This window comes from Homo sapiens, chromosome 8 (genome assembly GCF_000001405.40).
Source record: "Homo sapiens chromosome 8, GRCh38.p14 Primary Assembly".
Lineage (NCBI taxonomy): Eukaryota > Metazoa > Chordata > Mammalia > Primates > Hominidae > Homo > Homo sapiens.
Window position 1 is genome coordinate 117,791,694 of NC_000008.11, and position 25,842 is coordinate 117,817,535.

The window sequence follows — 25,842 nt, forward strand, 5'->3', positions numbered from 1 at the left end:
CTCCCGAGTAGCTGGGACTACAGGTGCCCGCCACCACGCCCAGCTAATTTTTTGTATTTTTAGTAGAGACGGGGTTTCACCGTGTTAGCCAGGATGGTCTGGATCTCCTGACCTCGTGATCCGCCCGCCTCCGCCTCCCAAAGTGCTGGGATTACAGGTGTGAGCCACCGTGCCCGGCTAGACTTTATAATATATTGAAATATATTGTGAATATGCAGTGAAGATCTTTAAAATAGTTACAACATTTGACCTGCCAATTTCATGTTTATTATTTGTCCTAAAACAGTGGTCAGGGATATGAACAAAGATTTATCTTGAGGAATATTTACCACTGCATTCATTACATTAAACTGTTGTTTAAATGTTTACCATACAATAGTAAGAAATTACAAAACACCTAAATTTCCAAGAGTAGAAGTTGAGTGAAAACAGTATGAAATATAGGAAATGGCCAGACAATGGAGCACTATGCAGCATTAACATTTGATTAGATAAGATGATTTAATGACATGGAAATATGTTCTCTATACATTAAGTTTAAAAAAAATGTTCTAAAATGACATCTTTGGGGAGCAGCCAAAATAGCCTCCAAGTCTCCTTCTTTATAGCTTAACATTTTTTTCTGCTCTAAGATGGGATGCTACGATCCTGTCTGATTAAAGACACATTTTAGGCCTGTTTTACCAGCATATTTGGTCAAGGAAACCAAGTTATTTGCAGTTTAGTTTGGAACAGAAATTCAAACTTGGCAAATAATTTGCATATTGACAGAAGCATGTTTTCTTTCTTTATAAAATGTATGTCACCAAGAAAGAAACAATAATTGGCACCTAAACTTCATTTCAGTACTGAGCTACCTCAATTACATTCCACTAAGTAGAATGAAAAACAGGCCATCCCTCAAAGGCAGACAAAAAAAAAAAATTGTGACTTAGCACAATTTCTGCTGATGGATTTCTGATTCCTGAATGTTATGACGATTTCATGTTAAGAGGCATTAAAACATGATTATAATTGAAAACAAGAGGGCCTGTGACACTAGAGGGACCACGGTTTAATTTGGATTAGTATTAAGGTCCTGAACATTAAACTAAGAATATTTCCTCTTCAACAGGTTAAAATAAACTATTTTGGCAAAATATTAACTATTACTAATGGGTAAAAACTACATATTGCTTGTACCAGGTGCTATTTTAAGAACTTTACATTTATTAACTCATTTAATCCTCAGGAGAACTCTATAAAGTATAGACTACTACTTACCTGAAAAAACTGAGGCACAGAGAGATCAGGTAATTTCAATGAGGTCACAAAACTGTGAAGACAAAGAGTCAAGATTCGATCCCAGGTGGTTGGGCTCCAAAGACTGTAATTTTAACCTGTAAACTTGGACAGTTTCATCTGCATGAGGCCAAAAGCTAATAAAAACCTTGAATCCACTCTAGTAGGTGAGTACCTCCACTGTATCCTCTAAAGCATGTTTCAGCCTAGAGGAGTACCCAACCTAGTCTAATTTCTCCCCCAATATTTTGAGTTCCTGCATACCACAGAGGCTGCACAAAGTCAGGGGAGGCTAACGTAGGATGACGCAGGCATCTACACATAACTTGTCATTTTCTCATCTCATGAGTGGACTCAGTGGAAATGCTCAGACCATAAATCAACACCATCTGTAATTGAGGTTTGCTCAAGGTATCTTTGCATGCTATAGCATTCATTGAAATATCTGTGAGGTAGGTTAGAACCAAATTTAACAGTTACTTCTCCAACTAGCCTTCTCATTTGTTCTCCAACTTGGGAATGATTCTATCATTAGACACACCCTGGGGCCAGATTTTACAAGTGGCACTATCATAACAGTGTGCCAGCTTAGGACCTGAGTTCACCACATTCCTTTCTGAGCCTACTCTGATGATTTGCCTTGGACTGGCCTTGTCCAAGCTCACCTTGACATCTGCCTTGTTCAGTGCTCAGTAGGCAGTTGTTGTTTAGAAAGTCTTTGTAAGTAACTATTTTAAAGTCACCATTTTACAGATGGACAAAGTGAAATACAGAACACAAAATGTGATTGATGTCATAAAGCAAATCAATGCTCCCAAATGCAATTTGCCATTCGCTCTCCTGTAAATATGTGAAATTGGTGACTTAATGTTCTTACTGTAAAAATGCCCAAAGAAAGAGAATAGAAGAAGAGTAACAGAGTTGGGGGAGAGCTACCACTGGAATGGAAGGAGCGAGGGAGGAAAATAGGAAAGGAGGAAGGAGTATTGCGAGAACATAAAACCTTACTACAGTGGCCCTGAATCATGGAGCTGCAACACACCTGGAGCACTTATAAATTCTTTTGAGAAATGCCAGTGTGACATACGCCTCGCAAGCCAGCAATTCATGAACTCGATGCAGTAGTTGAAACCAAAGGGGTAATGGCCACAGCTGTCAGGATCCAGATGCTCTGGGGCTCGGCCCTGCCACTTTGTCCCAGCATTCATGCGAAGGAATGCTGTGAACTGGGCATATCACCACTGTTCACCCTGGCCTGCTTCCAACAGCACCGGCTGCATCTGGCCTGGAAGATGGCCATGGCTGGCGGCCCTATGTTCCCCATAAGGTTGGGCACTGGGCTGCAGCCAGGCTGCGAGTGCTGGACCTACATCCAGCACACTCTCCGTCCAACCTCATCTGCCTGTCTACCCCAGAACCCCCAAGGAAGCTTGGCCTTTCCTGGCACACAGAATCCTCCTGAGAACTGGCGTCTTTCTGCAGTCAACAGAAAAGATGGAATGAAAACCACACAGATGAAAAGTCATGTCATTTATTAATAATTTCTTTTTTTTTTCTTCTATAAATTGGAAGGAAAAAGTCTTTGGTGACACTCTCTATAAAACAATCTATCTTGGATGGCGAAACCCAGACATAAAGTTACACAGGTCAGTGAAGTAAATCAATATCTATGGCTTTGTATTTTCTCACACGCGCTCTCTCACACATACTTGAGGGCTTAATTACGCTAAGTCATTAATACTCTATAACAAATGGGAAAAACACTTCAGAAAAGACCTGTGGTGACACTACAAAAACATTGGCAACATATTAGAAAACTCTGTCCCAAGTGTACATCGTATACAAAATAAGGTATACTTTTGTTTTTTGCGTTACAATTTGCCACCTAAAATAGTTCCAGTTTTTGATGTCTTTCTTTCTGCCCCTCAACATATCCTATACATATTGTTCTCTCAAAATAAGTACACAAGGTTCATTACATGGTAACCAGGTCATTTGCATAGCCCTAGTTTTAGTAATAGTTACAACCGAAAGGACAGGGATGTATTCCTGTAGGAGAAGAACAGAAAACTATTGCAGAAATCAAATGGCCTGAGGCCTAAAAGGCAAATCATTACAAAACCAGAGTGACTGAAAGGCTAGCCTGACTTGATTTTAAACAAGGGTGAGACTGTGCTATCCTGAGGGCTCAGCTTTCTCAAGGTTTGCCTTCTTCTCCTAGTTGCTGGGCCATGTTAAGTTCCAATTCTGGGTAGCTCACTGAGGTTCCTGATATAAAATGTATTGGAACTCTAGACCAGTGACAACTACAATCCCTACTAGGTAAAACTCATGGAGACAAAAGCCTTTGATTTTTGGAAAGGGCAAAAAGGGGAGAGATGGTTTTGAGGAGTCAAATCCATCATCACAATTATGGTGTAAATAACAGCTTTTTTATCCAGAGGTTCTGTACAGCATTATTGAACTGATGGGAGAGACCACTATCTTAGGGTACTTAATCCCCCAAGCTTTTTTTTTTTTTTAAAGAAAAAAAAAAGGGGGGCCAGGCGCAGTGGCTTACACCTGTAATCTCAGCACTTTGGGAGGCAGAGGCAGGTGGATCACCTGAGGTCAGGAGTTTGAGACCAGCCTGGCCAACATAGCAAAACCCTGTCTCTAATAAATATACAAAAATTAGCCCAGTGTGGTAGCACATGCCTGTAATCCCAACTACTAAGCAGGGTGAGGCAGGAGAATTGCTTGAACCGGGGAGGCGGAGGTTGCAGTGACTGAGCTGAGATCACACCAATGCATTCCAGCCTGGGTGACAGGGCAAGACTCTGTCTCAAAGAAAAAAAAAAGACTTGGTGTCAAAGGATAAACTAATCTCTTTATGCTGAAGTTCTTATACCAAGTGAGACAAGTTTAGCACAGTTTGATATTAATGCTTATTTGCTGAGAACTCAACTCAAAACAACTTTGTCCCTGTAAGCATGCCTGAGAAAATGAGGCTGATAGTGAAAGAAATTTCTTGGTTAAATCTGGCCAAGAATGACAAAACCAACTGAAAGGTTCTTGTCCATAGTCGCTGTAAAGGGGAACTAGGTAAATGAATTCAGCAACTGCGGTCCTGATGTACTGGCTGCATGTTGATTATATTCACAAGTAAGAGGCAGGAGCATTTTTATTTGAGAGTTCATGGCAATAACTGCTACTTTTAAATACTGGAGATCTCAAGAGACCCAAGGGAACACAAGACACTTCCAGGTCTGGGAAGTTTGCTTGGCTTTTGCATCCATAATTCAGCCTTGTCCAGCAAGAATCTCATTCAGATTCCAACCTAGTAAGGCTGTCTTCCCCCTGATCCTGCCCTTTAAACAGGTTTGTTCTTAAATCAAGTGCCCTGTTTTTTTTTTTTTTAATTAAAAAAAATAGTATATAGGCCTATTCACATTCATTCATCTCACCCCTGATTAAAGTTCAGTAACCTTTATGAAAGGCCACCAGCATAATACTCTTTCAAGTCACCAGGTATTTGAGAACCACCAAAATAAAGGCTAACATAGCCTACTGTAATGAAAACCAAAAGTCATTCTAAAAGGGAAATTGAAGGATGCAACCGGATTGATCCTTCTTTGAGCACCATTTGTCACAAGAAGAAATTAAACTGTAATGCACATAAGATTCCAGTAACAAGCTTTCCCTTTTTTTTTGAAGCATCTATCTGAAAGTGTGTTGATACGACCAGGTAGGCCCACCTAGCTATGCTATCTTTTGTGGTATGACTATCGTGATTATTTCATGGATTTTTCTCTACAGTCTCAATTTTGAGCCATTTTGCTAGCTTCAACAAAGGTGATATGTATTAATGTATTTGTAAGCTTTGATATTTATAACACTTTCATATAAATAAATACACAGCCAGCTTTTAAAAAATTACTTTTAAGATCCTGTGTCTTAATGTGGAGCTGGGAAAAGATGCTGTGTGGAAATCCATAAGTGGCTGAGTCCTCTTTGGAATTTCTGCAAGCAATTCATTACGTGGTTGGCACTGTACTCTCAGCCCTTGGCTTCTCTCCAATGCAGCACATGTTAGCCCACTTAGGGACCCCTAGTTATCATTAAAGTTGACCAGGAGATAATTCCTGACACCCTACAGAGATGGCTATGATTTGTCAACTTGTTGCAATGCAATACAACTCTTTCCTAACTGAATTAAAATTACATATTACTGTCGAGCTTCACTGATTTGTTAAGCATTGTTCTATTCCCAGCCTTATATTCCAAATGGGAGAAGAACACGCTAGCTCACATCCCAAAGAGATTTGCTCAGAGAATGACATAAAATGAAACTGTGGAGATTTAAAGTGGATGAAAGGTGTGTTATATCCTGTTCTTATTTATAATTACCATTTTTCTTCACATAACACATGTTGTTTGTGGAGGATATGTGTTGTGAGCTTGGTGACAGGTCAATCTGGCAAAGCAGGTCCTTGAATCCACTTGTGTGACTGACTGGTACAATTAGGGACATTGCTTTGCAAGCCAATATGACCACCTAAGTTTCAAGTTGGTTTTGGGGTCATTGAACAAAATATCGCATTTATTTTTTGGTAAAGGAGAAACAAGAATAATTTGCCAATCCTGAAAAAAATAATTTAAATACAAATTCACAAAGGCCAAATGAATAAAGATTAACTGCTAATCTTTTAACTTGCTGAGAAGTGCAGCTTAAATGACATGAAACCTGTAAGACCAAACATTTTATAGAAAAGACACAAGTGCAAGCACCATGGACCTAAGAATTATTTTTCAACAAATGCCTAAGAGATAATCACATCTACTTAGGGGAAAATGTCACATGTTTGAGAATGGACTATGGATGGGTCCAATTAGATGAGAGAGGTATTTAGGGAGCTGTTCTGAGTCATGAGGCTGAGGAGAAAATCCTCTCTTTAATTGAATTTCACTGTCTACGCACCTCTCAAAACACCATCTGGATATGTGGGCTCTACTCCTTGTTCTGCAGCTAGGTAGCCTGTTGAGTCACTTCTCTGGACTTCCACAAACACTTTCACTCCTGTTTACAGCACCATCCCCGTGCTATCATTACAAGCTCCTCTTCCTCTCCCAGATGTCTACAAAGAAAGGATGAGGTAAAGTCCAATGGACTTACGGTTTCCACTGACCTAAGATGGCCACTTGAAATTATCAGAACAAAATTCTCTGATGAACTTTTCTTCTAAAACAAAACTGAAAATAAATGGAAAAGAAATATGAAATGTATGAGAGTTTGAGGGAGGGACTCTAAAGTGCTTATTGTTTATTCAGCATAATACATGGTCAAACTCAATAATGTCTTTCTCTTCCCTGTTTTCTCTGGCCTCTTCCAAGTAGAAGAAAGCATTTAATATCAGAAGTCTCCATTTTTCATAACAGAGTTAGGGATATGTTTTTTTTTTCAGTTTATACTTGGAGTTTAACAATAATCATAAGCCCAAGATAGCATTTTCAGGGATAGAAATGTTCTTTTTAACAAGAAGCACAACTAAACTTTTCCACAGATTTAAAAATTAAAAGTAAATGAAACTATATTCACATTTGTTGTTGATTATTTTGTTTGCCAGATTCTTGCTCAAAACAATGTTTGACCAAAAATGGCATTAGGGTCCCAATGGCGAGACATCTCCTCAGTTACTTTGCAGCAATCCTCTTGTTCATTGGTGTGAATTTCTACCTTATTACCCCTTTTTCTTTCTCAAAAGAGAAACTCTGAAACTTGAGATTCTCACAAACATTAAAGAGTTCATCTTGTAAATAATCTGTTCTCCCCAATATACTCATTATTCCTTGGCTTCTAAACCAAAGCCTCTTCCCAGTGCTACGCAGACTTAGGTCAATGGTTGAATCTATAACCGTGCCCCCAACCCCTGCAAGTATTGGGTTACTGTTGTGGGTCTGTATTTCCATCTCACTAACATGCTGGTGGGTTATCTGGATAGTTCTTTGTGCAAACTGAACATTTCTTAATTATACTAGTGTTTTCTTGGTACTAATTCCCCCCACCCCCCCAATGAAAAACGATTATCATATATATCTATCTCAAACATAGAGATTTCAGTTAGAACTGCCTACCTGGAAGTCGTAATACTTTCTTTCATGCAGCGACATTTTAGAGATAAAAGTTCAAGTGGATTTGAAGATTCGAAGTGGAAAACAATTTGCACTGGCAAAGTTGAATAATGAAGTTACAACTTATGCTCAGTTATTTCTTGATAATGGGTAGAGTGACTTATTGTGTTTTCCACGAAGTTTGAGCTTTTGAAACTGCAGGGCACCCTACATGGCCATGACAATGATGTCTGTGGGAAAAGGAATAGCAGCTTTGAAATATTCACAACCAACACAATTTTGATTAAACAAAGAACTCTGGTTTTTAATAGTTTTGATCATTAAAAAAGTTTAAACCTGCATAGCAATCATTTCAAAAATAATTATTTAATGTTCCATAATTAAACTGTACACAACCTAGTCTTGGGACACAGAAGCCAGTGAGGTGAGTTTGGAGCAGTCTGGTGCAGTCCCAGGAGCCAGGAGTTGAGTTCTCATTGGCCTTTTTTTTTTTGTCATTCTGCTCATCTAAGTTTTTGGATAGTTGGCACAATCTGGCTCTGCTGATGAGTGGATCTGCACTGGGAAGAGAGAGCAGCTTGACCCCCATCCCTTCTTGCTTCCCCTCCCCCACTCAGCCGGATTCCTCAAAGTCGCTCAATGTCTCGGTATTTCTTCCTCAAAATAGAGACCTGGTCTTTAAAGAGGACGGGGTCGAGCCTCATCTGAGAGTGGATCAGCGGCATGTAGCCAAACCAGCTGGCAAACGTATTCATGCAGCTCTGTCGCTGGGCAAAGTGGTCAGGGTCAGCCCAACGGGAAGCCCGAGAAGTCTAGGGAGAAGGAGAGAAACAAGGATAATGATGAGAGAAGTGCAAGGTGAGATGGAAACATTGCAGAAAATGGAGTCAGGCAAATGAGCAAGCAGCAAAGCTTGGGGTCTGGCCCGGCCACCAAGTCTCACCATCTATGCACCTGCTGAAAATGCAATCGCTGATATTGGTTTTTCCCAAGGTATGCTACGTTCCTCAGTGTTAAAAACACAAAAACAAAGATTCATGTTGACTTTAATTCTCTAAAATTTATTGACTAATTCTCTGGTCAGTCCACGACTTAGCAACTGAAACTCGACTACTACAGTGACTCAATCTAAAACCTCTCTTTGCACTTGGGACCAAGTACTAAGATTAAAGATGTGTTTCTGCTTTCAAAGAGTTTTCTAAATCCTTCCTGTTTATGTAGTTGATTTAGAAATACCCACCAACTTTTAGAAGTCTATCTTTCTCTCTATCCATCACTTCCTTCCTTCTACTATCTCTTTACCTTTATAAGGGTCCTACTAAATCCTTTGTTAAAAATTCACATATATAGTTGAAGAAGAACAAAATAGTGCCTTTTACATGTCACTCAAGGCTAGTGTTACGCAGCATCTAAAACTCCGTTTTCTCTTCTGTAGCCTCCCCATTGACGTGACTCCATGAGGATGAGAAGGTGAGATTCAGTGGTATATAGAGCATGTTGCTGTATGACTAACTTTATACTAAAATCTCAAAATTCTGTTCTTCTCTTAACCCAAGAATTGTTGGCTTTCCTGCTTGACTAAAACCCCCAAAGGTTACTTTTTAAAGGGCAATCAGCCCTCCAAAGAATCACTGCTCACCCAGAATAAAGATTAACTCTCGACAAATAGAAAAGATGGCTACCATGTTTTTAGCTCTCTGTGTTGCCCCTAAAGTTGGTTAAATATTTTTAGATCATGCAAATGATTGGCATTGATTTAAAAAGAATGCCTTAATGACTGGAGTGCTGAAATTTAAATAGAATGACTAAGCACATTGTCTTTCAATCCCTGTTTTTATGAAACATGGAAAAGATGGGCTGCCCAATTATGGGGGAACCCCCACAAGCCCATTTATGTCAATAGGCAAGTCTTTAATGATGTATATGTATGCACGTGTGTTCTGTGTATTTGTTGTACTCACAGTTTTAGAAAAATACTTTCATGGGAAGATACATTTTAGTGTGAGAAGCAGTAAGAGTCACTTCAGAATCATAGTGTCAACATGCTCGAAAATAACATTGAAGATAAACACAAATGTCAAGTTACCTCTGAACAGCAGAATAACAAACAAAACACTATTTGTAAAGTGTTTTCATGGAGTTCATTTGAATCTCACCACAATCTGGTGAAGTATCTACCCAGGTAATAACATCCCCATTTTATAGCTGAGGAAGCAAGTTTAAGAAAGTTAGAGTTATTTGTTCAAGGCTAGAGAGGGGCAGAACTCAAGCTTCATTCTTCAGCCTTTATATGAGGGGAACTCTACTTGATAAATCAGAGAAAGATATCAAATGGAGCTGACTGGTTGAGTTCATATCAGAGTAGACAATCCCAAATGTAACTTGTTTTGACCCTAAATGGATATGAGTTTGTGGGCCATTTTTTTTTCTTTTTTTTAAAGGCAGAGTCTCACTCTGTCACGCAGGCTGGAGTGCGGTGGCATGATCTTGGCTCACTGCAACCTCCACCACATGGGTTCAAGTGATTCTTGTGTCTCAGCCTCCCAAGTATCTGGGATTACAGGTGCACACCACCATGCATGGCTAATTTTTGTATTTTTAGTAGAGATGGGGTTTTGCCATTTTGCCCAGGCTGGTCCTGAACTCCTGAGCTCAAGCAATCCACCTGCTCTGGCCTCCCAAAATGCTGGGATTATAGGCATGAGCCACTGTGCCCGGCCTGTGGGCCATTTTTGATTGGCCCACTCATTCCCAAAGGGTGCTGTACCCAGGCAAAATACTCATATATGCAACTAGAAATACTGTCTAGAGTTTACACTCATTCCTATTCAAAAAATTTTTTTTAAAGTTCAGTTGAATCATTCAGGTATCGTTTTGCTTCTAGATGTTAACATTTATTCTGAGTCAACCAACATCTATTAGAAAAGATGCCTTTCTTATGTAATAAAAGCCTAATCCTAGAGGATGATATCTATTTACTTTACCGGTCATACAAACATTCAATAAATTAATGTGTATGATGGAAAGAAGGGGGCAAATATAGTACCTGAATACACCTAGTTAGACCTAAGGTTAAATTTAGATTTTTTTGTTAAAGATGTATGAATTACTAGAAATACTGTTTGGTAGAATTAGGCTAATCTATGAAAATAGCACAAATCCACCCCCTAAGAGGCCTTGTATGACTAGAATTCCCCACTTAGTGAGTGTTCTGAAGAACTCTGAGTAAAAAAATATTTTTAAAATGTCATGTCCTTAAATGAGATAATATACAGTCATGCACCACATAATGACATTTCAATCAATGTTGGATCACATAGATGACTATTGTCCCATATACTGTAATACCATATTTTTATTGTACCTTTTCTGTATTTAGAAATGTTTAGATACACAAATATTTATCACTGTGTTACAACTGCCTACAGTATTCAGTACAGTGACATGCTATATATGTTATAGCCTAGGAGCAATAGGCTATAGTAGGCTGTACCATATAGGGCTGTGTAAGTACACTTGATAATGTTTGGATAATGACAAGATCACCAAATGATGCATTTCTCAGAATGTATCCTCATTCTTAAGAGATAAATAAAAAATATAAATAAAAATGTTTGGGCACATAATAGACAATACATCTTGCTTGAATTCGAATATTCTCTCAGCCTTAAAAATTTTTACAAATCCTCTTATCTGTTCTTTCTGTAATTAGAAGGAAACAGAATTTTCTGCCAGACTCTTTGCTAAGGACAGCTCTTTCATCATAACCAATACCTAGAACAGTGCCTGGTAACATGCTCACTAAGTACTAAATAACTTTTTATAAACTTTAAATTCTTTATAAACTTTAAATTTTTGCTTACTAAATTTAGTGAATGAAAAACTATCAGCTTAACATGAGGCCTAGCTAAGATTTCCTTTGCAAAAGCTAGATTTGTATATGTTTTCCAATGCCTGTGAGAACAAGGCACATGCAAAGCCCCTCAAAATTGAACTAATATAACCATGTTAAAGTATGTTCATTCAGATTAACCTCAATCCTGTTGGATGCTCCATGATTTAACGTGAGTGAATCTTAATGCTCTTTCTTAAGGTTTTTTGTTTCTTTTTTCTTTTTCTTTTTTTTTGAGACAGAGCCTTGTTCTGTCACCCAGCCTGAAGTGCAGTGGCATGATCTCAACCCACTGCAACCTCTGCCTTCCAGTTTCAAGCAATTCTCGTGCCTCAGCCACCCGAGTAAGCTGGGATTACAAGCGTGCACCACTATGACCAGCTAATTTTTTGTATTTTTAGTAGAGATGGGGTTTCGACATGTTGGCAAGGCTGGTCTCAAACTCCTGGCCTCAAGTGATCTGCCTGCCTCGGCCTCCCAAAATGCTGGGATTATCAGTATGAGCCACTGTGCCTGGCTAAGATTTTTGATTTCTTACATATAGTAGGGGCTCTGCTCAAGATGAATAAAGATAGATGAAATTCGGCATATCCAGGTGGACCTGATACCAAGATGGTGGGGTGTACAAGGACAAGCAGTGAAGTCCACAGACCCTGGGATTCAATTCCCAATTCTGTCTCTAACTTACTGGGCAACTTGTGGCAATATGCTTAAATTCACTAGGTCCTAGTTTTCTTACTTATAAAAAGAAAATGTTGGATTCTATTTCCTTGAAAATACCTTTAATACTAAAATTGTATAACTCAACACAATATTTTACTTCACTTTTATAAAAGCTTTCAAACATATTATTTCAACCCTGTAAGGTAGATTTCACCATTTCCATGTTAAAGATGAGCCAACTGAGTTTCAGAAGGTTACTGACTTGCCTGTATTTTAAATCCTGATTCTAGAACTGAAAATTAAATATTGTGATTCCTGTTATGTCACCAAGACACAATTCAACTCAACTGCAAGCACCAGAAAACTGTGTTAAAGAGAGTATGGTTTGCTAGACATTAAATAAGGTACCTACAATCAACTTTCATAAGTTATTTGTAGGGCTTTAATTCTGCTGAGGGCTGAATGTTTGTGCCCCCTAATATTTATATGTTGAAGCTTAATTCTTAATGTGATGATATTTGCAGGTGAGGTCTCTGTGGGATGATTAGGTCATGAGGGTGGAGTCCTCACAAATGGGAGCAGTGCTCTTATAAAAAGGACCCTAGAGAACTCTCTTGCCCTTCTTTCTGCCATGTGAAGACACAATGAGCAGAGGGCTATCTATGAATCAGGAAACAGTCTCTTGTCAGGCACCAAATCTGCTGGTGCCTTGATCTGGGACTCTCCAGCCTCTAGAACTATGAAAAATAAATGTCTGTTATTTAAGTCACCCAGTCAATGGTATTTTTGTCATAGCAGCCCAAATGGACTAAGACAAACTCTAAAGACATATCTTTCTCATGTCACCTTAAAGATTATAGGAGAGCTTTACATCCTTGGCATAAAGATACTCTTAACTTGTGTCTTCCTAATTATCCCTGCACCAATCATACACTCTTTTCTAGCTTTCAGATGTAGTTCATTCCTGGTTTCTCCTCATTATATGCTCCTGGGTGGAACAGCTAGAGGAACGTGAGTCCTCATTACCTGGGGCTGAACCACCAGTGAGTGAAGCAAGGGAAGAGGGCTCTTCTATACTTACCTGTCCCATCATTGTCTCCTTATACTGCTTCTTCTGGGTCACTTTGATTGGAGGCAATTTTGTCACAGCAGACACCAGGAAGTTCATGAGAATGTCCTCACAATTGGCCAATTGGTCCACCATGTTCTTCAGGCTGGCTGGCAGGTAATGGGAGTATAGGTAGTGATAATATCTGTAAAAATCAAAGATGGGTTTCACAGGGGGCCATTATCACATGATGACAAGTGGACTTCTGAGACAGAAAACACATACCCATTCTTTGAATCCCTAAACATGTCATGAATGGTAATGATAATGATGATGATGATGACGATAACTATCACTTCTATGGTACTTGTTATATACCAGATATTGTTCTAAAGTGTTTTACAAGAAATGCTTCATTTAGTCTTCATAAGGAGCCTACAAGGCAGGTTCTATTATTACTCCCATTTTACAGATGAGGAAACAAGGCACAGAGATACAGACATACAGACATTGCTTGTCCAGTCTAACTCTAACATCAGACAGGTGAGTTAGAAAGAAGAACTAAATAATTAGATGGCAAGATAAGTTATTTACACATGATCTATATATTATAAAGCTGCTTAACAATTTTAATCATTGGCTTAATCAGAACTGTATTTAATATTATCCCTTGACTCTGAGTCCAACAATAGACTGTTCTATATTTGTGCCCTATAAACCATATATATTTCAATCCTGTTAGAGCAAAATCTGAATTAATGGGGTGGTCAATCGTAACAGAAAACCCATAATTAATTTGAATTATTTCTCATCCTACTGTTTTTAAAATGTATTTATATACATATAGCATATATTTATAGGAAAAATCATTTGAGTGAATCAAATTCTTAGAGTGGTGGTGGCAGAAGCAATAGGAACAATGAACTTTCAAGAAGTGAAATCTTGAGACCAAGAATCAGTCAGCCTAAATGTTTATGCCTTGAGCATTTCCAAGCTATCCCTGAGATAGCAAAATTCCCTATTCTTTACTAAAAAGACTAAGGCAAGATTGGTGTGTTCACTAATGATAGAAGAGCAGGTATTTTGTTACTGGTTGAGTGGGGAATGTTAGCTATCTACCCTCACTAGTTTGGCAATCTTACTCCAGTCCCCTGGCTTTAAAGACCAAATATATGCAAACAACTGCCAAATTTGTATCTCCACCCCTGAGCTTTTTCCATATATCCTTTTGGATGTCTTAACATGTCCAAGACTGAACCTATATATTTTCCCTCATACTTGTTCCATCTGTAGTTTTCCTCATCTCTGTTGATCAGCCCTCTAATCTTCCAGTGTTTCAGGTCAAAAGACTTGGAGTCATCAAACTCTACATCCAGACTCTCTAGGCATCATGCTAAAGCATCTTCAAAATAATCTGATCACTACTTACCATGGCCACCATTCACTTCCTGGTCCCAGGATCCCACCATCTCTTGCCTAGATAATGTCAATCACTTCCTAATAGGGCTTCTGCTTCAACTCTGGGTCTGTTATAGCCTCTTCTCAACATAGAATCCACAGTGGATGCATAAAAGAAAAGCCGGATTTCTCCTCCCTGTTCAAACCCTGTCCTCCTCCCCTGTCACTTAGAGAAAAAGTCAAGTCTTCATGATGGACATCAAGGTCCTGCAGGATTTATCACTGTGTTAAAACTGCCTACAGTATTCGGTACAGTGACATGCTGTACATGTCACACCCTGTTCAAACCCTGCCCTCCTCCCATATCACTTAGAGAAAAAGTCAAGTCCTCATGATGGACATCAAGGTCGTGCATCCATGCCCCCTGACTTTTCTGACTTCCTGTCACCCATTCCACCCAGTCACAGTGGTCTCCTCGATGGTTCTCCAGTATTCTGCCTCAGGGCATTTATTCTCGCTGTTCTCCTGCCACAACACTCTTGGTGCACATGTCCTCTTGACTTCCTGTCCTTCAAGTCTCTGCTCAAATCTCACCTGTGCAATCAGAATCACCCTGGACACCCCCAATCTGCCCCATCTCCACCTTCAGCACCCTTGATCCTTTTCTACACTTTGTCTGTTATATCACTTATCTCCTTAATAAACTATGGAATTATTATGTAGACAGTCTTTCTTTGTTAGAATATAAGACCTGCATTGGCAAGGAATTTTTTCTGCTTTACTCAGTGATGAATCCCAAGCACCTAGAACAGTGCCCTTGGGTGCTGACTTAGGTATTTACTTTTGTTGTTGTTATTCTAAATATTCAGTTACCTAATATGCCCTGAGAGTATTTTCACACTTCAGACCAACTGAAAATGTTACTCTACCATAATTTCTGGAAATGAAACATGCCAAGAGGTTTCACTGGTTTCAAAAACACACATTTGACACATCAGCAAAACTTAAGCGGGGATACAGACTAATTTTCCTCAATGCTGTTAACAAGATTTGGCCTTAGTTCCTATTTATGCAGCAGCCAATATAAAAAGCTATGTAAAGTCTGTAAGAGACATGTCCAGATTCCTCACTTGTGGTAAATAGCAGCTCCTGTCAACACCATGGAGTAGTCGTTCGTCCACTTTGATGTGTATCCCCACCGCTCCTTAGAGTTATCCCAGAAGTGGCTGCGCGCGGGGTACCCCACAATCCTCTCAGGGAAGCTCTGCCACACTGTGAAGGCGAAATCCACCTGCAGGCAGAACACAAGCCAAACAAGCAATCAACAGTGTTAACAAATGTCAACAAAACATTACCTTCTCCCCACTAATTCATAATGCAAAATCCGGGGACTGTGGCGAAACATTAATTCTATGTATTCATCAGCAAATTAAACTGACTGCTTGACATTTTGCCCCATAATTATGCACATTTTAATGTTTTCTGTTAAAGAAACTTCAGAGTAGTATGGAAATGAAAGGAAGAAAAAAATTTGCTGATATGCCCTTTAAAAATCCAGTCTGTTCAAGCTAAAACATAAGTTGAAAAAGCTTCTTTTCCCCCTTCCTCAAAGGTGCACGTGCCTTGATTCACGTGAGACACAAACACATCTGTTTTATAAATGAGAAATTTCCCATGTATATCCAAAGAATGAATATACAACATATATCATACCCAGCATATATCAAAGCCAAAGTGCCTAAAATAAAAGCACCCTCTTAAGAGTAAGAGAAATAACTTTAAAAAAAAAACACCACAAGTTCTAACAGGAATACAGAGCAGGTATCATAAAGAAAACATAATTCAGGCTTCTTAGGTTTGAAGATGCACAGTTTAAGAGACACTAGAAGAAAGCATCAACAGTGAAAATCACTAAGAATAAGTGGGGACAAGAACAACTGAAGCCACAGAATTATTTTAAAGGAAATGCAGCTAAATGTCTCTCCGGTGCTTATAGTAGCCCAAAGCAGGTGCTTCTGAACCTGCTATAAACCAGCACTTATAGTTAGCAAGTGATCTGTTTTCAAATGCATAAACTCACTTCTGATTTCTATGATCATTTGATGAATGGTAAATCAAAATAATAAACAGAAAATAAAAATAACAAAAATAGTGACAGCAAACAATCATATAATGCTCATAATTGTGAAATGTTATAATACAACAGGTGCAGCTATAGGTGCTTATCCATTTTAACTCATTCCATCCTCACAATACCCCTGTAAGGCAGGGGCTTTTACATTCTTCAGTTTACAGAAAGGGAAACTAAGATATAAGTTCAAGTAATTTGCTGAGCTAATAAGTGGCAGAGCCAAGATTCAAACTCAGGCAGTCTGGTTTCAAATGTGCTACGTACTTTATCAAAACTTCTCTTTTGGCTCTGTTACTCCAGTGTTAAAAGCAATTTGTCTCTTATACACGCTATGATTCACCTCGTTATCTTTGCCGTATCTCTTCTGGATAAGCAATACAAATGGAAATTTCATCTGTTTCGCAAATATTTTGAGTCCTGGCACTGTGATGGTAGCTGGGGGACGGAGGGATGCTGCTAGGTCCAGGTCCTGCCCTCTCAGAGGTTCCAAAGCAGGACCTGTGATGGTTAATTGTATGTGTCAATGTGAGTATACCATGAAGTGCCCAGATTAAAGATGATTTCTGGGTGTGTCTGTGAGGGTGTTTCTGGATGAGACTAACATTGGAATCCACGGGTTCAGTAAAGCAGACTGCCCTCGCCAGTGCAGATGGGCAATATCCAGTCAGTTCAGGGCCTGAATACAAAACAAAGGTGAAGGAAGGAGGAATTCCTCCCCTTTTTCTTTTTGCCTGCCGGCTGAGCTGGGACATCGAACTTCTATTGCCCTTGGACTGGGATTTACATCATTGGCTCCCTGGTTCTCAGGCTGTAGGACTCTGTCTAGAATTACACCAGTAGCCTTCCTGGGTCTGTAGCCTGCAGACGGCAGATCATGGGATTTCTCAGCCCCCAGGATTATGTGAGCCAATTACTCATAATAAATCTCTCTCTCAGTGTATGTATGTATGTATGTATGTATGTGCATGTGTGTAGGTATATATATGTGTGTGTGTGTATAAATATATATATATATATATATATATATTATGTTCTATTGATTCTGTTTGCCTGAAAAATCCTAATACACTGCCCTATCTTAAGATAAGGAAGACTTAAAAATATGGCTTGTTCCCCAAAACTATAACATCCACACGGGGCCAGGCACAGTGTCTCACGCCTATAATCCCAGCACTTTGGGAGGCTGAGGTGGGCGGATCACTTGAGGTCAGGAGTTTGAGACCAGCTTGGCCAACACGGTGAAACCCTGTCTCTACTAAAAATATAGAAATTGGCTGGGCGTGGTGTTGCACGCCTGTAATTCCAGCTACTGGGGAGGCTGAGGCACGAGAATTGCTTGAACCCAGGAGGCGGAGGTTGCGGTGAGCCGAGATGGTGCCACTGCCCCCTATCGTGGGCGGCAGAGTGAGACTCCGTCAAAAAAAAAAAAAAAATCCAGAGCGGGGAAAAAACCCGGGTGGTGGAACCGACATTAAGAAAGCTTGGTAGGGAGCACGTTATCTCAAAGTTAAAAGGTAGCAGGGGATGGTGAGCATCTGCTAGAAAATTGAAATTAGGTTGTGATTACCTACACCTTTTCACTAGTGGTCAATACTAATGGAGACAACTGATGGGACAGTATATTATGCAGCCTGTTGTCAAAGGATCAGCCTGGCCGTCAGCACTCTTTGGGGTTTTCTATCATTCTTTGAAAAGGAAACACATGCACTAGCAACTACTACAGAACCCAATGGGGTGTTCTCATCGCATGAATTTCTTACTATCTTAAGGCTGTTTCAAGTCATTTCAAAGGAACTCAAAAGTAAATTCAGATAAAACTATGATTCTTGTGATAGCTCTAATTTCATGCAGATTATTAACACATCAAAGAAGGCAAAGGTCAGTTTAAGGCCCTTTCTCTCAAAAACCAACATCTGTTTTCTTTTGAGCAGCGTCTGCAGCAATCCAGATAAATGTAAATAACTATAAACCAACTATAATGCCCTTTATAGGATGCTGTTTAAAAATCCATCCTTAATGCTGCAGAGAGACATTTAAACAATCTGAGATCCTTAGAGAGGAAAAGAAAAGTGAACCAACATCTATTCACCTAAAAAAAGAGAAAAGAGAAATCCTTGCCCAGGACCATTTTAGGCAACACAACCACTCCACTGATCAGCAGGCAAAAGCAAACCAGACTGCCAGCCTCTTAGATTTACATATCATTTTCAACCCACGTTGACTTCTAATTACTTCACATACAACACATGTTCCTCCCAGCATGCATTGAGTGGTTGGAATTGCTATTCTTTGAAAAGAAATTCACCAGCATGAGGATGCATCACAGCAGTTGAAAGTTATTTCACCATAGGATAGGGAAAAACAATCCTAGAGTGAGACTAATTGCCTTGTGCCCAGGGAAAGATAGAGGATGAATCAATACTTCAGGTCATAGGATGATGATTAAGGTACATGCTGTAGTTGTCTTGACCATTTGTTGCACCATGGCGGTGTGCTGCTTTGCCTGTGTTTGCCCTCCAAAATCCACTATCCACTCTTCTTGTCCTGCCCTGTGCCCTCAGATAATGGACCCCTATGGACTGCATCACCTGGTTGGGTTAGGTCAATGGGAGTCACCGGCAGGAAAATCGAGGCAGGATAGAGAGAGAGGTCAGTGTATCTCTTCTCTGCTCCCTCTCTCCTTTGCCATTAGAGTTCTGGCAGTAGCCACGTCCTTCCATGATCATAGCACTTGTAGAGCAGCCTCTCCATCCTAGTGCCATCTCTCAGGGCCTTTGAAAGAAGGAGTTCCTTCTCTAACTCCTTCAGGCCAAAGGGAGGAGCTGCTTCCTGCTGTCATTACTCACCAGGTGCCTCATTCTCTCTTATGGGGTCTTTTAACCCCATCTACACCTCCCTAAGGAATCCAAAGTTCCTTCATTTGAATCATCTGATTTGAATTCAGTTTGTTGCCAGGACTCAGATGGATATAGCCTGGAACTGTGTAACTGAAGTACCTGGCATGGAGACCAGGACAAAGAAATCTCTCAATAAATACTTGTTGAATGAATGTGTTCCAGCTTCCCTTGCAGAAAGTGGCAGAAAAATGCAAGCCAGAGTGACCTGTACCCTGTATTCCATAGCTGTCTTTCCCTATGAATGTTAAGCTTATCAACATCCCTTCCTCCTGCCAACCTACACATGACACAATTGGCGGTGTGTCCACCTTTAATCCCCAAAGCATGCATCCCCCCACCCTGGCCCAACCACTCATTCAACAAGTATTTATAGAGCTTCGGCTGCATAGAAAGCATTTTAACAAGGTGAGGTCCAGGACATTTTGTCCTGGGATTATTTAGGTTGCCCTTTGACATAACATCTATGCAACTCTATCTGATGGCACCTTGAAAGCATCTATGGAATTTTTTTTTTTTTTTTGAGATGGAGTCTCGCTCTGTCACCCAGGCTGGAGTGCAATGGTACGATGTCCGCTCACTGTAACCTCTGCCTCTTAGGTTCAAGCGATTCTCCTGCCTCAGCTTCCCGAGTAGCTGAGAATACAGGCACCTGGACCACGCCTGGCTAATTTTTGTATTTTTAGTAGAGATAAGGTTTCACCATATTGGCCAGGCTGGTCTCGAACTCCTGACCTTGTGGTCTGCCCGCCTCAGCCTCCCAAAGTGCTGGGATTACAGGCGTGAGCCACCGCGTCAGGCCACATCTGTGGAATTTCAAGGAGACACTGAGTTCACCTAGGCCAACATTGAGTCTTGGCTCTGTGGGCAGCAGGCCATTAGAACTAGATTGGTGTCCAGGAAAATGCAGGTTACACTGATGTTTACATTAAAAGGAAAATGATTGTGAACAAAAAGGAAAAAAGACAGGGAGAGGGAGGGGAAAGGTGTAAGTAGTTACGTCTCCATGCTTTTTAGTAGTTGCCATTAATAATGTATTTCTCATATACTCCATTTTTATATAGCTGTCTTTGGTCCTCTGCATGGTTTAAAGGAAGGTTTCAGAGATCAATACTCATTCGAGTTGTAAAAATTGGTTTTCTACCATATCTATCTTTCCTCCTCTCTCTCTCCTCCACGCGCATTCTTTAGGCAATCTTATTTTTGGCACAACTACCTGAACATCTGAAATAGGAATCTCCATCACAACCTTGAAGTGAAACCGTTTGCTCTTGTATAGGTGAAAGAAAATGAGCTCTTTAAACCAAGACAGAAAAGCTGCCTTTAGAGCTCCACATAGAGTCTCCTAACTGAGGCAATAGGATACGTGGAGAGGAATGGGATTATCTCCTCCGGAAAGCATGGTTTCAACCTAATGCAGAACACGCACCCTCCCCCTTCCCCTCAGTTCTGCGCAACTGCTCACAACTGTGCTGTTTAAAAACAAAAAAGGAGGGCAGGCCTGGGAGGAGGGGTGAGGCCCAGTTATGCAAATGAGGAGCCAATTAGCAGAGACAACAAAGGGGAGATGCCCGCCTCAGAGTGCCAGGTGGCAGCAAGGTGCTAACAGGAATCGGGCTGATTAAAACCAGCGCTGTAGGAAGTTTTGAAAAATGTTTTCAACTTCTGCCAAGGCACGGCTAAAAGAAGCATTAGCATCGTGCAACATGAGGTGACTGCCTGAACAGCCCACCTGCTGCTCCTCAGGCATGGGTTCTTACCTCTGTTGTTGAAAGCACCGTGTCCTCGTCAAGGCTGAGCACGGCGTCTGTGATGATGTTGTCGTAGGGCAGAAAACGGCTGCTCATAACCTGGGAGGAAGTAGAAGTAGGCAGTGGGGAGGGAATGAGGGAAAGAGGTAACTTCAGAGTCTTGTTTTCAGGACAATTCTCCCATCCTCACCTGCATAAAGAATGCGCTACTATCATGTCACCCCTCAACACCGAAGGAATCTCATTTCCCATCAATGCAGATGTATTTGTTCAACAATTATTGGGCACCTACTGTGTAGCAGACATCTTGCTTGTCAAAGAGGGTACAAAGATAAATCAGACATGTTCCCTGTCTTTGAAGAGTTCATGGTCTGTAGAGGAGACCAAGAAGCAGATGACCAGTCTTTGCTTGATACAAAAAATGCCAGGAGACCACAGGATGGAGCAACTAGCTGTCTGGAAGAGCAGGTGAAGGCCTCATAGAAGTGACATTTAAGCAGGACCCTGATGGGCAGAAAGAATTCACCAGGTATAGATAGTAATGAAGTATTAAAGACAAGACTTGGCAGATGCAGAGGCACTGAGCAGAGAACCTGCATCCTGACACCCACTCTTCCCAACCGAAAGAGTGAATGGATGGAGAAGTGATTCCAAGTGTGGACACAAACCACGGGGAGAGCAGATCACTGTAGAAAGTGCTGCTTTTACAAATTACAAACATTTACAAATTAAAATATGTATTAGCACAGATTAGAAAAAATATATACACATATATTAGCAGCTACAGCAATCAAAGGTAATATTAAAGTTACAAATAACTTCATTAAAATGAGAAGTATACTGATTTAAAGAAATATATTAGGCCAGGCGTGGTGGCTCATGACTGTAATCCCAGCATTTTGGGAGGCTGAGGTGGGTGGATCACTTGAGGCCAGGAGTTCAAGACCAGCCTGACCAACATGGTGAAACCCTGACTCTACTAAAAATACAAAAATTAGCCAGGTGTGGTGGTGCATGCCTGTGGTCCTAGCTACTTGGGAGGCTGAGGCAGGAGAATCACTTGAACCCGGGAGGCAGAGGTTACAGTGAGCTGAGATGGTGCCACAGCACTCCAGCCTGGGTGACAGAGTGAGACTCTGTCTCAAAAACAAAAAAAGAGAAGAAGAAGAAGAAGAAAGAAGAAGGAGGAGAAGGAGGAGAAGGAGGAGGAGGAGAAGAAGGAGAAGGAGAAGGAGAAGGAGAAGAAGAAGAAAAAATATTAAATAATAGCACATATGATCCATGGATTTAGAAAAATTGTGAAGGTGGTGTATGCATAAAGTTTGGGCAGTTCTGGAATAAGGAAAGGTGGACTACGTGTGCACACACAGTGGTGTGTGTGTGTGTGTGTGTGTGTGTGTGGTGGGGGCTTTGGAGATTATGGCATCAGCTGGAAAAATTGAGGGTGGAGAGGTTACCCTGTGATAGTCACAACTTAAACCTTTGTGTTGAATGTACCATAGAGGAACTAACCATAAGAATGCTGACACCATAAGAATAACATTTTTTGAACATTTACTGTGTGCCAGGATATGTTGCAAGTCCTTCATATATATCATCGTGTTTCATCTTTATAACAACCCCATTTTACAGGGAGGGAAACTGAGATACACAGGTTAAGTATCTTGCCCAAAACGGACCCAGGATTTTCCCCCAGATGGTGTGACTCTATAGAGCACCTTGGCCACCGGGCTGTATCTGAATGGAAAGGACCTCAAAAGTGAATTTAGGAACACATATGCCAATCATATGCTCATCACCTTCTTCCAGAAGTTATAGTAAGGATGATGACATCCTCTCTGAATTCACACCTGCCATCAACTTTGAAGAGACAAAGGCCAGGGAAAGAAGCAACTTAACACTGCAGACAAAGGGAAAGAGGAAAAGGGAGGTACCTAGCCAGCTGCCAGAGCTGCAGTCTCCCCAAATCTGAGTACCCCTAGGAGCCAGCTCATCTGCAGGCCTCATCTCAAACTCGGTTTCTTTGCCGGCGAAGCTACCAGAGCACCTAGGACTTTAATGCATGGACAGTGGCCACTCTAACTCATCTCCAAGAGCTCAAGGGACATAGCTGTAGCACACATGGCTTCAGGGGTTGCTCCTACACATCTGTCAACTGGGTCAAGTTTTTTGTTGTTGTTGTTTTCTTTCTCAGGCTTTTGAAATAAAACACAAAGTGATCAGCAACCTCATAGACACAGTGCTCAGAATTCTCAGCCTGAAGCAATCCTCCTGATACTGTTTACATGTCCACTGACTAACGCAGAAACCATTAGCTGCCAGCTTAGCACTGCCCTGACCTTTCCCTTGTTAAGCCCACAGGGGAAAACTGCAAAGACAACGCCTATAAATTCAAAACAGAATTTTTCAGCCAAAGCAGCAAATATATTGCTTCTAAATTCATGGAGATAGAGATTTTAAAATGGAGAATGAGGAAGATGTAGGGCTTCTTCCTCATCATCTGCCCAACCACAGGTCTTAAAAGGATCTGTTTCCTTTTTTTCTGAACCTGTTTCATCAACAGAAGTAAAAAGCCCATAAGCCATCCATTTTCGAATTCTCATGCAGAAATGAGAGGCTTTTTTCAAACACATTGCCTCAGCGACCTTCTTAAATGGATTAGCATGAGAGAAACCAATGTATTTACAAAGTTAAACCTGAGTGAACTGGGTTTTCCTTGTTAGTTCATTTAAGAAAGGTTTAGCTACCATGTGAAAGCCCAACTCCTTTAAAACGAACAAACATGTTGGCCAGGTACAGTGGCTCCCGCCTGTAACCCCAGCACTTTGGGAGGCCTAGGCGGTGGATCACCTGAGTTTGGGAGTTCGAGACCAGCCTGACTAACATGGAGAAACCCCCTCTCTACTAAAAACACAAAATTAGCCAGGCTTGGTGGCGCATGCCTGTAGTTCCAGCTACTGAGGAGGCTGAGGCAGGAGAATCGCTTGAACCCAGGAGGCGGAGATTGCAGTGAGCCGATATCATGCCATTGCACTCCAGCCTGGACAGGCAACAAGAGCGAAACTCTGCCTCAAAAAAAAAAAAAAAATTAACAAACATGCCTAGGAAATGACCAAGACTCAAGAAGTTTACTGTCTTGTAGTGTGTGTGTGTGGGGTGGGGAGGGAGGTACATAAGAAATGTACACAAATAATTATATAAAACACAATAATAGTTAAGATTTATTGAGTATCCACAGTGCGCCCACACTTCTCAGTACATTTATTTATGTATCTCATATAATCTGATCTTTTTGGCTACCTTATTAGTTACATATTATGACTCTTTCCATTTATTGAAAGGGGGCATCGAGACACAGAGGATTAGCAACTTGCTTTAAGTCACACAAAAGTAATTTTGACTTTAGAGCCCATAATACAAATCATAAGATTATGATGCCTCCCAGAAGAGGAGCTAACATTTATTGAACCCTTGGTGCATGTATAATATGCATAGGACTAAGCACCTGATATGGAATGGTCTTATTTAACCCTCAAAATGGGCCCATGTCATAGCCCAGGTTTTCTAGAATACTGAGCCTGAAGCAAGACTTAAGTGCAAACGCTTCACTCTGAGGTGCAATCCCAGGGCACTGAGAGTCAGGGAAAAGACATAGGAAGAACCCAGCCCACTGGATTCAGTGCCCAAGGTGGAGGCAAGGACTGAACAAATGCCAGGGGCCTGAATATAGATGCAGCTGGGAGGATCTGAGGCATCTTGTAAGAGACATCTGATAAAGCCCACGAGAAAGGTACTATTATTATCACCACCATTTTATAAAGAAAGAAACGGGGAGTTTCTTTTCACTGAGAATGAAAATATAAAATCAATCAGTGAGTCAGAGCATGAAAATGCTATACTACCTAAAGAAATCAGAATGGCTCCCAGACAGACTGGATTGTGTCTGAATATCCTGACATATCCAAAGAAAGACATTATCCACCAGAAGCAGAGCTGGTCTCCTTGACCCATGGAAGCATACAAAACAAAGAATCCCAAAGTTCAACATTAACTGCCTGCCTCTGAGTACTGTTCATGGCTTCAGGCATTGGAATTGGAACACTGCCATTCCTATGATGGGCTATTCTATGGGGGGGATGGATATAAGGGCCTGCATGAAACTGTGCTTATGGTGAGATTGATTTGTGAGAGAGGCATGTGATTATTCCAACATCCACCTTTTCTCATTAAATGCTTACCAAGCAGCTCTCTAACAAACAGGTTGTTTGACTCCAGCCTTATGAGAGCCATGGCTATATTTGTCACATTCCCCACTGTGTTCCAAGCCTGTTACAAGGAGCTCAGCACACAGTAGGCACTCATAAATGGAACTGAATAGATAATGCACTGATCATCTTGTCCTTGTGACAGTTACAATTGCATTATGTCAAACCATATGAAATTGCCACTTTTGGTGAGTCGATGATGATATCAAATGGTTCAGCCTAATAAACTGATTTTGTCATTCTGGCGCAAAGGTGTGAGCCACTCTCTTATGACCTGACCCCTTGGGGACTGACAAGGAAAGTTTTTTAGATGGCACTGCTTCACCAATCTCAATTTCATTTAGTAGTGACTATTTCCTTCACAATGCGTAAGATCTATAAGTAACAAGCAGAAGCTAGAGAAAAAAG

General features: G+C 40.7%; 1 protein-coding gene across 1 annotated transcript in view, besides 1 other annotated feature; it reads right to left on the reverse strand.

Moving 5' to 3' along the window:
• EXT1 (exostosin glycosyltransferase 1) overlaps window positions 2,797–25,842 on the reverse strand; it is a 317,337-nt gene continuing 294,291 nt past the window's right edge. The window contains exons 8-11 of the mRNA NM_000127.3: window positions 21,179–21,268; window positions 15,524–15,684; window positions 13,029–13,200; window positions 2,797–8,204 (exon numbers count right to left, since the gene is read on the reverse strand). Of these exons, the coding sequence (NP_000118.2) occupies window positions 8,019–8,204; window positions 13,029–13,200; window positions 15,524–15,684; window positions 21,179–21,268 (609 nt within the window). The 3' untranslated portion in view covers window positions 2,797–8,018. The remainder of the gene's footprint in view (window positions 8,205–13,028; window positions 13,201–15,523; window positions 15,685–21,178; window positions 21,269–25,842) is intronic.
• Window positions 20,599–21,164: an enhancer, noted in NCBI's record as "H3K27ac-H3K4me1 hESC enhancer chr8:118824531-118825096 (GRCh37/hg19 assembly coordinates)". NCBI's record gives its function as "activates a minimal SCP1, AML or CMV promoter by ChIP-STARR-seq in naive H9 embryonic stem cells {active_cell/tissue: H9 hESC(naive)}" and the evidence as "EXISTENCE:reporter gene assay evidence [ECO:0000049][PMID:30033119]".